This window comes from Homo sapiens, chromosome 14 (genome assembly GCF_000001405.40).
Source record: "Homo sapiens chromosome 14, GRCh38.p14 Primary Assembly".
Classification (NCBI taxonomy): Eukaryota; Metazoa; Chordata; class Mammalia; order Primates; family Hominidae; genus Homo; species Homo sapiens.
The window spans coordinates 60731960-60746489 of NC_000014.9; the positions used below are offsets into that span (position 1 = coordinate 60731960).

Genomic DNA, 14530 nt, shown 5'->3' on the forward strand with positions numbered 1-14530 from the left:
AAAATTCATAAAGAAAAAGAATTTGTAAACATATGAAGGTTCACCTTGGATGAACACGTTGGAAGGAACTTAAGCATGATTGAATTTTTGTGTTGAGACGAATGTGTTTTTAACCTTTCAAAATTATATGTTATGGTTGATAAATTATTTTCTCCTAAAAAAAAAAAGAAATGTAGGAAACTTGAGTTTGGTGGTTTTCTACATAGGCTGAGGTTCCATTTGAATTAGGAACCTGGTGCCGTCAGTGCTTTCCTCCTCAAAGCTCTCTGACCATTCCATGTTATTCATCCCCACCAGTGATAATGATGTACATTTCAGAGCTTCTGTAATGTATGAGGCATTGTATTAGGGCCTTTATGTATGTCTATGTCATGTAATTTAATCATTACAGCAATTTTATGAAGTGTATTATATGCAAGAAGGAAACAGGAACGGGAGGATTGGAAATTTGCTTCAAACACAGGTCTGACTGATGTAAAAGAAGGTTGGGCTCTTATTATTATATTGTCCCGCCTCTTTTAGATAATACTACTGCCAGTATCCTAATGCTACCATTAATAATGGCCAGCAGTTACTAAGCTCTTACTCTATGCTAGGTGTTTTAAATGAAGTATCTTTTATTCTTTACAAGTACTATCCTGAACTTAGAATTGGGAAAACTGAGGCTCAAGGTCATATAAATCATGTGATGAAGCCAGCACTTGAATTCAGCTCTCTTGGTACTAGAGACCAAATCTATAAGTGCTATTTTCTACTGTCTTTAGGTCCATAAGTAAAGCTTATCTGACAGATTTCCAAGTCAGCTGTTGCTACCATGCTTCCAAGTTAGTAGTTTCCCACCTAGGAAAAGGATAAAGCTTGTAGCATTGCTGCTTCTCACAATCTTTAGTGCTTTCTTTGCCTTAATCTTAAGTTTTGGGAGAAAGGAAAAGCAATTCACTTCGCAACGTGGTTGGGGTCTCATCTTCAAAGACGTAATTAAAACTGTCCTGGATAGCTGGGCATCATTACAGGCTCATGCCTGTAATCCCAGCACTTTGGGAGCCTGAGGTAGGAGGACTGCTTGAGCCCAGGAATTCAAGACCAGCCTGGGCAACATAGTGAGATCCCATTTCTTAAAAAAATAAAATAAAAAATTAGCTGGGACTGGTGGCTAGTGCCTGAGGTCCCAGCTACTTAGAAGGCTGAGGTGGGAGGATGACTTGAGCCCAGGAGTTCAAGGCTGCAATGAATTGTGATCGGGCCACTGCACTCTAGCCTGGGCAACAGAAGGAGATCCTGTTTCAAAACAAACAAACAAACACACAAAAATTGTCCTAGTGGCAATAAACTATAATGCCATCTGAGTGGATGACCTCAATGTAGTATTGGCTAAAAATTTTATTTGCACATATGACATATTCATTCTTTCACCAGAAGTTTCTTGTATGTTATCAGCTGAGCTTACATGACTATGCAGTTATAAAGAAGTATAAAGCACAGGCTATTAAATGGTCCAAAATATAAAGTACTAGAGTTGCCTTTGTTCTTGAAGAGCTTCACTCTGAATCATGTAACTGGTCTGGATGTGGTCTTTCAATAAGACAATAGCAGCAGCATAATAAGCCTCCGGGTCAGCATAGTAGCATAGTATTTGGTGTTACCTATTTTAGTAAGTTTATGTTTGGTTAACTCCTGTTGAGGAACAATATTATGATCAAAGAGATGATATGGTTTATTTATTAGATGAATCCTTGATGTCTTCATACTAATGTAAAGCTCTGTCACAGCCTGCTTTGATCTGCTGGTTCCTGGGTGTGGTATCCAGCTGTTTGTCAGCATCCCTCTCTATACCCATGGAAATCCCAACTGTATTTTTGGGTTTTGGGTTCCCTACCAGGTTCACTGTTTAAAAATGTGAATTGAATATTACTTTTTATTGAAAAGAACACAAGTTCTATGATGAGTTAAAATTACTATAAATGTTTATAGCTTATACTCATTGTATCAGATTATTTGAAAAATCTAGTTTGCATGTTCCCTTCTGATGGAGTTTGGGTCAGATGAAGGTGGTTACAAAAAATGTTTGACACTAAAAATTTTCACATTACACTATTGTTTGATAGTCATTCATTAATTCTTCACTTAGTCTACTTACTCATTAAGAATCAACAAATCTTTATTTTGGAGATGAATAAGATGTGTCCTTTACAGTGGGAAAGCTTATTATTTAATAGAGCTGTTTACAGACTTCAATTTGCCTTCTTGATAAATGTGATGAACATGGTTTACAATTTACAAAGATATTCAGGCTATCAGATCTTGGAATTGCAGAACTAAATTTTTCTGTATGTATTCTTATATGATTTTTTCCTAGGTATTTGGGGAAATAAATACTGTCTGATGGAGTAGATAGCTTTTTCATATTTTGTATCTGCGAATGCATATTATCAGCTGAGCTGACATGACTATGCAATTATAAAGAAGTATAAAGCACAGGCTATTAAATGGTCCAAAAGAAAGTAAGTACACCGCTCATAAATCTTTGAAATCATGGGAATGTTTCCAGACAGAACAAGATGGAATTTATCTTCCTAATTGTGACACAGTACCTTGAAAAATGCAACTGGGTGCGTGGAGATAAGGCTTTGTATAATTTGCCATTTTAAAAGTTCCCCTGTCAAATTCAAGGTATTAAGTTGCTTTATGGAAGGCTAAGACCAAGCCCTAGATGCAAGACCGGGGGAACTGACTGCCGGAACGTTTGTGTTGCAGCGCCTCGCCCCTTGCCGGTGCTCTTTCGCGAAGGGACCGTCTCTGCCAAGCGCCTGTTGGTAGGAACCTGCTTGGTCGCGTCTGAGGGGGCTTGTAGGTGGCTCTGGCTGAAACAGGCGCCTGCGAGAGTCTGTAGGAGGGAAACCGCCATGGACGATCAGGGTTGCCCTCGGTGTAAGACCACCAAATATCGGAACCCCTCCTTGAAGCTGATGGTGAATGTGTGCGGACACACTCTGTGAGTTGGGCGGCAGTGGATTCCCTGGGGGAGAGACGCGCTGGGTGGGAGGAGAGGACCGGGAGATGCTAGGCCTCGTCTTGGGAGCAAAGGGCGTTGTTAGTTTCAACACTGGGGAGGAAAATGGGAAAAGAAGGCGTTGTGACTTTAAATAGACTGTAGCCGCTAGCCCCGAGCGGCTCTGGCCTGCTTTGAACTGCGGGTTCTCAGTGTGGCATCCAGCAGTTTGTCAGGTTCCCCCTTCCATAGCCAATGAGTATCCCGACTGTATTTCCAGGCTTTGTGTTGTTTACTGGGCTCTGGACATCGCTGATTAAAAGCGTGGGGGATTGGAGTGTTTATTTCATATGAAATGTTTTTATTGAAAAAGTGCGAAAGTGCTATGAAAACTTAAAATTTGCTTGAGTATATACTGCTGCTATTTATTGTATGAGTTAATTAAAAAACCCTGTGTGTATGCCCACTTGTCCTGATGGAGTTCGGTTAGACTCCCATCACTAAAATGAAGAAAACCCGGACTGTAGGTAGTTAATTTTGAAGATATAATAATGGCTGGCATTTGAGTGCACATTTTGTGCCAGACAGTGTTCTAAGCGCCTTACCATGAATTATCTCAGTTCATTCCTACAACAGTCCCATGAAGTAGATACTGGTATTTCCATTTCACAGGGAAGGAAATCGAGACTGCTCAAGGTCCCTTATTAAGTGGGCCTTGAGAGAATTGGAACCCAGGAAGTCTGACTTTAGAACGCCCATTTTCAGGGGAAGGGGGCAGAAGGAGGGAGGTTGAGTTTGTGTATTTTGAAACAGGGATTGGTCAAAGTGTTTCTTGCCAGATTTCTTGTCAGATGTGGTTTAGTGAAGGTGGTTCTAGAAAGCACTTTGAGATAAAAAGGTGCCATGTAATGGCGAGCATATATTCCTGTAGTTTCTTTCAGGTTTATTGGAGGCAAAAAATAATGGATAATCTACAGTGTGTAGACAAGGTCTCCTCCCAACCCCCCAAGTGCTGACAAAAATGTAGAGCAATGACAGGGTCTTTAGGTAAGCATAAATTGCATGATTAGCTGTAGCTATAATTATTATATGGAATTTATTAGCTTACTTAACTTTTCTAATTGATCTTTATTTTCCTTTGCTTTACTCTGCAAAGAAGTATAGTAGAGCTGTGATTGAATGATTTAAGATTAGAAGTAAGGTAAAAGTAATCAAGAAGAATGCATGGAAAAGGGAATTCTACATGGAAAAACACTGTAGATAGACTGTTTTTAGAGAGATTTCGTTCAATTTCTCTCCATTTTTCTTTATCAGGTTTGTTATGGTGGAACAGGAAAGAGAGTTTGTTTTTTTTTTTGGGAAGGATACTAACTAAATGTAATTTACCAGAAGGATGCTAAATGTAATTTTCTGGCCTAGCAGCACTTAGCCATTCAGGGAAGATTATACGATTTCAGTAACATAAATGGCATTTTAATTGGGCAAGTATAAAATATTTATTTTAATTGAAATTGCTTTTGTTGTATCCTCAGCCCTTTTTGTTAAGATCTAAGAGTTAAGACTTTTGTCTAATTCATTCTGGTGTTGCATTTAATGTGGTTAATTTGCTAACCTGTTAGATAACAGGCTACATTTTACAGTCCTTTTTTGACTTGAAATGTGAACAAAATGAGTGAAAAGCTGTAGCGTATTGGCTGAGAGAACAAGCTTTGGAATGAGCCTGTCTGATTTCACATTCTTTACTCTTACCGGCTCTGTGGCCTTAGGGAAATGACTAACTCTTTGTTAGCCGTTCTTCTTGTTGGTACAATAGAGAAAATAGTGCTGCTTGTATCACGGTCCTTAAGTATTAAATAATATATGGAAAATATTTAGAGATATTTAGTATTCTGTCACATAATATTTGTTTACTATATATTGGCTATTTTATTATTATTATTCTTTGTGTGGCATGGGTGATAAGCAGAAATAAAATTAAAACAGGACTTATTTGGCCTGCTATGAAATACTTGCACAATAATGATTAGCTTTAAATGATTTCAGTACACTATGAAATGTGAAAATACAGCTTTAATTATAAGGACTCTGTTGTAATTTTCTTAATATGAACTCTTTAGCATGTTGTCTAATTAATCATCCTTTTAAAGAAGTACTTTAATCTAGGCTAACACACTGCTGTTTCTGAATGGAGGAGAGAACTCACTGATTTTTTTGGCAATCATTTAAAAAATTTAAAATTATATAAGCTATTAATAATAAAAGCAACGTAAGTTATTAAGTGAAAGGTAAAAATTTCTGTGGTTCACTTCTCCAGAGGTGACAACTTTTAGGTTGTTTGTGTATATTTTCGGATATTTTCTATGCATATACAAACATGGGTGTGTTTGGGTAGAAAACTTTTTCTTCCTTTAGCATAAACAGGAATATAGCATAAACATATATATATGTGTGTATATATATATATTTCCTTGCTTTTTTCATTATGTATATTGGATAATCTCTCTAGATCAATATGCATATGTTTTCCTCTTTTAACAATTTGATAGTAGTCCATTGTTCAAATATAATTTATTTACCCCAATTTTTAAAATTAATATTTAATTATCCAGTTTTTCCTTGGAGTAAGCATCCATAAATATGCATATATATGTACATATATGTCTTTGAGCATTTAGGCCAGTATATCATAAGATATAACAGGTAAAAATCACAAGGTAATGTCCAGTAGTAGAATTGTTGGGTCAGAGTTTGTGGCTTTTAAATTTGATAAATATGGCCCAGTTGTTCTCAAAAAAGATTATGTCAAGACAGGCATGGTTGTTCCTACCTGTAATCCTAGCTACTTGGGAGGCTGAGGAGGGAGGGTTCGAGACCAACTTGGACAACATAGGGAAACCCTATCCTTTTTTTTTTTTTTTGAGAAGGAGTCTCGCTCTGTCGCCCAGGCTAGAGTGCAGTGGCGCAATCTCGGCTCACTGCAAGCTCCGCCTCCCGGGTTCACGCCATTGTCCTGCCTCAGCCTCCCGAGTAGCTGGGACTACAGGCGCCCGCTACCACGCCCGGCTAATTTTTTTGTATTTTTAGTAGAGACGGGGTTTCAGCGTGTTAGCCAGGAGGGAAACCCTATCTTACAAAAAAAAAAAAAAAAAGATCTTGTCAATTATGTTACCAACAACTGTATGGAGATTCCTATTGCCACACAACTTTGCCTATATTGGCTAATATTATTTTTTAAAATCTTGCATTTTAAAAGATGTTTAAAAGCATCTTATCAGATGCTTTTCTGATAAGAAAAACATCTTGGATTTTTTTTTTTTTTTTTTTTGAGACGAAGTTTTGCTCTGTCACACAAGCTGGAGTGCCGTGGCATGATCTAGGCTCACTGCAACCTCCACCTCCCAGGTTCAAGTGATTCTCCTGCCTCAGACTCCCGAGTAGCTGGGACTACAGTCGCATGCCACCATGCCCGGCTAATTTTTGTATTTTTAGTAGAGACGGGGTTTCACTATGTTGGCCAGGCTGGTCTCGAACTACTGACTTCGTGATCCAGCCGCCTCGATCCTCCCAAAGTGCTGGGATTACAGGTGTGAGCCACTGCGCCCGGCCTGAGATGGAGTTTTGCTCTTGTTGCCCAGGCTGGAGTGCAATGGCGTGATAGCTCACCACAACCTCTGCCTCCCGGGTTCAAGCAGTTCTCCTGTCTCAGCCTTCCGAGTAGCTGGGATTACAGACATGCGCCACTACCTCTGGCTAATTTTGTAGTTTTAGTAGAGATGGGGTTTCTCCATGTTGGTCAGGCTGGTCTTGAACTCCCGACCTCAGGTGATCCACCCGCTTTGGCATCCCAAAGTGCTGAGATTACAGGCGTGAGCCACCGTGTCCAGCCTCATTTTGGCTCTTAATGAAAAATTTTTTGATAGTTTGTTGAGTTTTTATGGCATATATTTCATGGGATTGAATATAGGCATTTTTATAATATGCTTGTTAGTCTGAGAAGAGCAGGTATTATTTTGCTGAATGATTCTGGCTCGGTCTTAGGATGTTGTAATCAAGTTGTTGGCTAGGACTGCAGTCTAGATTTGACTGGGCCTGGAGTATCTGTTTCCAAGGTCACTCATGTGGCTCTTGTCAGGAGGCTTCAGTTCCTCCCCATGGACTCTTCCATAGGGCTACTTATGACGTGGCTTCTCCCAGAACTAGTGATATGAGCGGAGGTAAGGAAGATTGGAGAGATGGATGGGAGAAGAGAGAAAGGGAGGGAGGAAGGGAACTGGAAGCTGTAGAGCCTTTTAAAACCTAATGATAGAAGTGATATACCATCACCTCTGGTGTTTTGTAGTGTTATAATGTGGGAGAGTACACACAAGAGTGTGAATACCAAGAGTGTGAATATCATTGGGCTATCTTGAAGGCTGGCTTCCGCAGGATTTTATTAACTTATTTTTTTTTTTTTCATGTCCTCAAGTAGCAAAGACTTTTTGGAGGCAAGTGATAAAGTGAGTAGGAGTAGTGCTTCATAAAAGAGGAACTATAGGGTTATGGAAAAATTAACTAGGAGTTTTACTTATGGGAGAAAATACAGGAGCAGAGAGGAGAGAAAAGAGGTGAAACATTATTAAATACCTTTGTCTCTTAGCTGCTAGCAATTGAAGAAGCATATTTCCCTACTTATCAATTTAATCTAGCAAATGCACAAATGAATTGATTGTATGCATATAGAAGAAGATTGGATTTCATGTTCTTTTTTTAATTTTTTCTGTTCAAGGATGAACATTGTCTCAATTACAGAAAATGGTAATTTTTTTTCTTTATCAGGCCACCTATTTCAAGAAATGGGCCTTCCATTCTGAAGGCATATAGAATTAGATGGAGGCAGTGGTATCTAATTCTCATTTAACTACAGCCTTTAATAATTTAATTTCTGTCTGGGTGCAGTGGCTTACGCCTGTAATCCCAGCACTTTGGGAGGCTGAGGCGGGTGGATCACCTGAGGTCAGGAGTTCGAGACCATCCTGGCCAACATAGTGAAACCCCGTCTCTACTAAAAATACAATAATTAGCTGGGTGTGGTGGCATGGGCATGTAATCCCAGGTACTTGGGGAGGCTAAGGCAGGAGAATCACTTGAACCTGGGAGGCAGAGGTTGCAGTGAGCCGAGATCACACCACTGCACTCCAGCCTAGGCTACAGAGCAAGACTCCATCTTAAAAAAAAATTAATTTCTATCCCAACCATTCTTGGCAAAACCTGTCTCTGGAAATTTTATGTGCTAAATCTACTTTTTTCATCACGCACGAGACGCAAAGTACAAGATAAGCAAAATCAAGTACCTACCATCTTGATATATAAAGGCAATGTTTTGTGATAGTTACTTAACATCTTTCTCTTTCTTTTTTTCCCTTTTTTTTCTGTTCTCCTATTTCTCTCTCATTTACTGATGTTACTGGATAGTTTATCCTGAAGAGTCCGAATTTTGCTTATTGCATCTCTGTGATATTGTTAAATATGTTCTTCTGTTCTCAGTATTTCCTCTAAATTGTTAGTTATGTTTAAAAGTTTTATCAGATTAAGTTTGAATTTATTTGTTGATAAGAATAATAAGTGGTGTTAACTCATTTAATATACTGATCTTATTCAGTACCTTTGTGCAAATTGGGAAACAGAGCCCCCTCTGGGTAGAAAATTAGGAAAAGGCACTTATTTTAGGTGGAAGATTTAGAACAGGAACATTCTAGATATATTATTTTATAATTTTCTGTTGTGATAAGAGGATATACTCTATAAAATTTCAGTCTTTTGAAGTTTTCTGAAAGCTTGCTTATGGTCCAGCATATGGCCTGTCTTTGTGAACAATCAGTGTACATTTGAAAAGAATATACATTCTGTGGTTGTTGGGTGTAGTGTAGTATAAGTTATAAACGTGGTACATATTACCATACCCATCTTGGTTGATAGCATTACCAGATCTTCTGTATCTTTATTAATTTATTTTATCTACTCATCTTATGAATTACTCCACTATGATTATAGATTTGTCAGTTTTTCTTGTAAGTTTTGTCATACTTTATGCATTTTGGAACTCTCTTGTTGGGTACATATTTGGGATTGTTATGCCTTCCTAATACATTTCTCCTTTTATCATTATGAAATGGCCCTCTTTGTCTCTTGTAATATGCTTTTTCCTGAAGATTCTGTCTGATAATAATTTGGCACTGTCAGATTTCTTGTGCTTACTATTTGATAGTGTGCATTTTTCCGTTCATTTACTTTAAAAAAATTTTTTAACCCATGTAATATCAGTGGCACAATCATAAACTCCTGGGCTCAAATGATCCTCCTGCCTCATCCTCTTGAGTAGCTAGGACTACAGGTGCATGGCACCACACCTGGCTTATTTATTTATTTATGTATTTATTATTTTTATTTTTTGAGATGGAATCTCGCTCTGTTGCCCAGGCTGGAGTGCAGTGGCGCGATCTCAGCTCACGGCAAGCTCCGCCTCCCAGGTTCACACCATTCTCCTGCCTCAGCCTTCCGAGTAGCTGGGATTACAGGCACGGGCCACCACGTCTGGCTAATTTTTTGTATTTTTAATAGAGACAGGGTTTCACTGTGTTAGCCAGGATGGTCTCGATCTCCTGACCTCGTGATCCTCCTGCCTCGGCCTCCCAAAGTGCTGGGATTACAGGCGTGAGCCACTGCGCCTGGGGTTTTTTTTTTTTTTTTTTTTTTAATTTTTAGTAGAGATGGGGTCTTGCTATGTTTCCCAAGCTGGTCTCAAACGCCTGAGCGCAAGTGATCCTCCTGCCTGGGCCTCCCAAAATGTAGGTATTACAAGAGTGAGCTGCTGTACCTGGCCCCCATCCATTTACTTTCAACCAATTTGTGTCTGTCTCTGGGAGACTCTACTTCACTGGGTCTTGCCATTTTATCTGGATTGACAATCTCTGCCTTTTAATTGGTGTACTAGTCCATTATATCTAATTATTGATATCATTGGGTTTAAGTCTACATGTTTCCTTGTATTCCTTTGGTTTTTTTGTTGTTCTTTTGCTCCTTTCCTGCCTTATTTTGAAATAATTGGATTTTTTAAAGTATTGGCCTATTAGCCGGTAGCTTTTTATTTTTTATTTATTTTTATTTTTTTTTAAATAAGAGACAGGATCTCACTCTATCACCCAGGCTGGAGTGTGGTGGCTTTATCACAGGTCACTGCAACCTTGAACTCAGGGGTTCAAGGGATCCTTCCACTTCAGCCACCCCAGAATTTGGGACTACAGGTGTGCACTGCCACAGCCAGCTAATTTTTAATTTTTTTTTGTAGAGCTAGTCTCTGACTGTGTTGCCCAGGCTGGTCTCAAACTCCTGGCCTCAAGTGATCTACCCACCTCAGCCTCCCAAAGTTCTGGGATTACAGTCACCTTTTATGGCCAACAATTAACTCCTCATTGTTATTATTATTATTAGTGGTTTCTTTCAGCATATCTTTTATTTGTATTTGTGATTTGTTGTTATTTTTGCTTTAAACAGTCAGTTGTCTTTAAGGAAAGGTATGTTTTTAAAAAACTACTTCACTGAATATAATTCACGTACCATAAAATTCACACATTTAAAGTGTACGTTTCAATGGCTTTTAGTATATTCTCAGAGATGTACATATTACCCCACAAAGATACCTCTCACCACTTAGCCGTCACACTCCTCAACTCCCCCCTCCCATAGCACTAGGCAACCAGTTATCTACTTTCTGACTATGTAGATTTTCCTATTCTGGACCTTTCATATAAATGGAATCATACAGTATGTGGTTCTCTGGACTGGCTTCTTTTACATAGTGTAATATTTTCTAGGTTCATCCATGTTGTAGCATGTATGAGTACAACATTTCTTTTTATTGCTGAATATTATTCCATTGTATGGCTATACTACATTTTATCCATTCATCAGTTGAAGAACATTTGAGTCATTTCTACTTTTTGGCTGTTATGAATAATGCTGCTGTGAACATTCATGTACAAGTTTTCGTATGGACAAATGTTTTTGTTTCTCTCATGTATATATTTAGGAGTAGAATTATTGGATCATATGGTAACTCTTTGTTTAGTTTGTTTTCCAATGTGGCTGTACCATCTTATAGCAGTGAATGAGGGCTCTAGTCTCTCTATGTAGTTGCCAATGCTTGTTATAGTTGTCTTTTGATTATAGCCATTCTAGTGGGTATGAAGTGGTGAAATATAGTCTCTTATTTTCACCTATTTACTATCTTTGATATTGCCCTTCTTCCTTTGGATCTGATTTTATAGTCATATTGATTTCCATCTGCCTAAAGAACATTCTTTAGCATTTCTTTTTTTTTTTGAGACGGAGTCTTGCTCTGTCGCCCAGGCTGGAGTACAATGGCACAATCTCGGCTCACTGCAGCCTCCGCCTCCCAGGTTCAAGCGATTCTCCTGCCTCAGCCTCTTGAGTAACTGGGATTACAGGTGTGTGCCACCATGCCCGGCTAATTTTTGTATTTTCAGTAGAGATGGAGTTTCACCATGTTGGCCAGGCTGGCCTTGAACTCCTGACCTCAGGTGATTCGCCTGCCTCAGCCTCTCAAAGTGCTGAGATTACAGGCGTGAGCCACTGCGCCCAGCTCCTTAGCATTTCTTATAGTGTAGGTGTGTTGGTGAAGAATATACTCTGATTTTGTTTATAAGAAAGTGTTTTTATTTCACCCTAGTGTTTGAAGGATATTTTTGCTGAATATAGAATTATGGGTTGGCATTTCTTTGACCATACAAAAGATATCATTTCATTGTTCTCTAGTGTTTCTGTTGAGAAGTTAATTTTACTCATATCTCTTTCTCCCTGTTCTTTAGATTATATATTTTCTATTGATCTATCTTCAGGTTCACTGTTGCCTGTCTGCCATTTCTAATCTCATCCAATAGATTTTTCATTTCTTATTGTATTGTTTTGGTCGTAGAGTTTTCATTTTTATCTTTTTTATAGTTTTCATTTCTCTGATATTTCCCATCTATATACTCATCAAGAATATATTTTTCTTTAGTTCTTTGAATGCATTTTCCTTTAATTTTTTGAACATATTTTCCATTAATTCCTTTAAAATATTTATGATAGTCAATCTTAAGGTTTCTGTCTGTAAGAGTTAACTCCTTGGCTATCTCAGGGTTGGTTTCTTTTTTGTTTGTGTTTTTGAGAGAGCCTCACTCTGTTGCCCATGCTGGAGTGCAGTGGCATGATCTTGGCTCACTGCAACCTCCACCTCTTAGGTTCAAGTGATTCTCCTGCATCAGCCTCCCAAGTAGCTGGGATTACAGGTGCCTGCTACCATGCCTGGCTAATTTTTGTATTTTTAGTAGAGATGGGGTTTTGCCCTGTTGGCCAGGCTGGTCCCAAGCTCTTGACCTCAAGTGATCTGCGTGCCTCGGCCTCCCAAAGTGCGGGGATTACAGGTGTGAGCCATCACGCCCAGCCATCTCAGGGTTGGTTTCTATTGACTGCTTTTATTTGACTGTAGGTTACAGTTTTCTGCTTATTTATTTTTGCATGTTTACTACTTTTTAATTGTAGGTGGTATATTATAGAGATTCTGGATTTTGTATTTTTGTGAAAAGTGTTGATTTTAAAAATTCTTGCAGGTAGTTCAGTTACTGGCAGATAACTTTGAACTTGTGTAGGCTTGGTTTTACTCTTTGCTAGAATGATATGTGGAGAACCCATTGTTTCCTTACTTTAGTGTAACTCAACCTCACATTTTTAATCCCTTCAAAAACTTGTTGGGGCTTGATTTTAGTCTTTGTTAGGGTGCACCTAGAATATGCCTTATTCTAGGATGTGGTTCTTACTCTTAGTTGAGGCATTTTTGATATCTCAGCTGGATATCTGAGATGTTAATAAGGTGTTAATGTGATTTCTCTGCTCTGGCTGGTGGGAACTCTAGGTATACCCAGTACTCCTCAACTCTAGTGTATTTTCCTCTCTTAACCACTCTCTTTTAAGCCTTGATTGGTTTTGCCCTACACATGTGCAGCCTATTTCTTGGCCAAGGATTTATGGGGGAATCCTACATGTCTTCTAGCCTCTCTGCCTTGTGGATTTCAGCCACATCAACTACCCTGCATTCTGATCTCTGCCTATTTGGCTTAGCACAATCACTATTCCCTTGTTAAACTCTTGCTTGCTGGGCCATGGTTATGGCAATTGTTGCCATATAGAAAGCTGAGGTATTTGTAGGGCTCACCTTGTGAGTTTCCCATCTCTCAGGGATGTCCTGTCCTGCCTGTTGTCTAATGCCTGTAAACAGTTGTATTATGCACTTTATTTTATGGTTGCTCATGGTGGGAAGGCTAGTCTGGCATCAGTTACTCCATCATATTTGTTAGCAAAAGCTGGCCTTACTGTTGTTAAGCATTTACTTCCTCCTGTAGTCTTGCAGATTTTCTCAGTTCTATATGTACCTCTTGCTTTTCTTTTTTGTTTGAGACAGTCTCGCTCTGTTGCCTAGGTTGGAATGCAGTGGTGCGATCTTGGCTCATTGCAACCTTTGCCTCCCGGGTTCAAGCAATTCTCATGCCTCAGCCTCCTGAGTAGATGGGATTACAGGTGTGTACCACCACGCCTGGCTAATTTTTGTATTTTTAATAGAGATGGGGTTTGGCCATGTTGCCCAGGCTGGTCTTGAACTCCTGGACTCAAGAGATCTGCCCACCTTGGCCTCCCACCTTGGTCTCCCAAAGTGCTGGGATTACAGGTGTGAGCTGTTGCGCCCGGCCCCTGTTTATTTTCTTTGCCTCAAAATTGGCAGTACCCTGTTAACATTTTCTTTTTTGTTGTATAGTTCTGATTACTTTTTTGTTTTTACTACCTCAGCTCCTTCCCTAATATTTTTGTAAGCTTTCTTTTCTTTTAATGGAGTGTTTTGAGGTTGATTAGCAGTATAGTGCTGCAGAACAGCGCTTAGAGAATTGGTGCCTCCTGTCTTCTGACTGGTAATTACAGTGAAGATCTCAAGATTCTTCTGAAGGGGAGGTAGTTTGTGCTTTCAAACATATGTAAGAGTTGGTGTTGTATGTATCTTAATTATCCAGAGACAGGTTGAGGAGTAGAAAGAACACCAAATCTCAAGTTAGAAAATCTAGGCTCTAGTTTCACCATAGACTAGCGAGTTATAGGCCAGCCATTTAACTTTGGTTTGTTCACTTGTTTATAATAGGTAACATCCAGCCCCCTGAAGCTCTTAAAATTTGTGTAATTTAATAGTTAATTAGAAAATTATTGGCTGGGTGCGGTAGCTCACACCTGTAATCCCAGCGCTTTGGGAGGCCGAGGCGGGTAGATTACGAGGTCAGGAGTTCGAGACCAGCCTGACCAACATGGTGAAACCCCATCTCTACTAAAAATACAAAAAATTAGCCAGGCGTGGTGGGTCATGCCTGTAATTCCAGCTACTCGGGAGGATGAGGCAGGAGAATCACTTGAACCTGGGAGGTGGAGGTTGCAGTGAGCCGAGACCGCACCACTGCACTCCAGCTT

At 39.3% G+C, this 14530-nt stretch overlaps 1 protein-coding gene across 3 annotated transcripts in view, besides 2 other annotated features; it reads left to right on the plus strand.

The window, feature by feature from the left end:
- Positions 2802-14530, plus strand: part of MNAT1 (MNAT1 component of CDK activating kinase) — a 235205-nt gene continuing 223476 nt past the window's right edge. For all 3 annotated transcript variants that reach the window (NM_002431.4, NM_001177963.2, XM_005267688.4), the window contains exon 1: positions 2802-2992. In NM_002431.4, coding sequence (NP_002422.1) covers positions 2904-2992 — 89 coding nt within the window. In that variant the 5' untranslated portion in view covers positions 2802-2903. The remainder of the gene's footprint in view (positions 2993-14530) is intronic.
- Positions 2816-2915: an enhancer, noted in NCBI's record as "active region_8480". NCBI's record gives its function as "activates an Ori minimal core promoter by ATAC-STARR-seq in GM12878 lymphoblastoid cells {active_cell/tissue: GM12878}" and the evidence as "EXISTENCE:reporter gene assay evidence [ECO:0000049][PMID:35858748]".
- Positions 3026-3095: an enhancer, noted in NCBI's record as "active region_8481". NCBI's record gives its function as "activates an Ori minimal core promoter by ATAC-STARR-seq in GM12878 lymphoblastoid cells {active_cell/tissue: GM12878}" and the evidence as "EXISTENCE:reporter gene assay evidence [ECO:0000049][PMID:35858748]".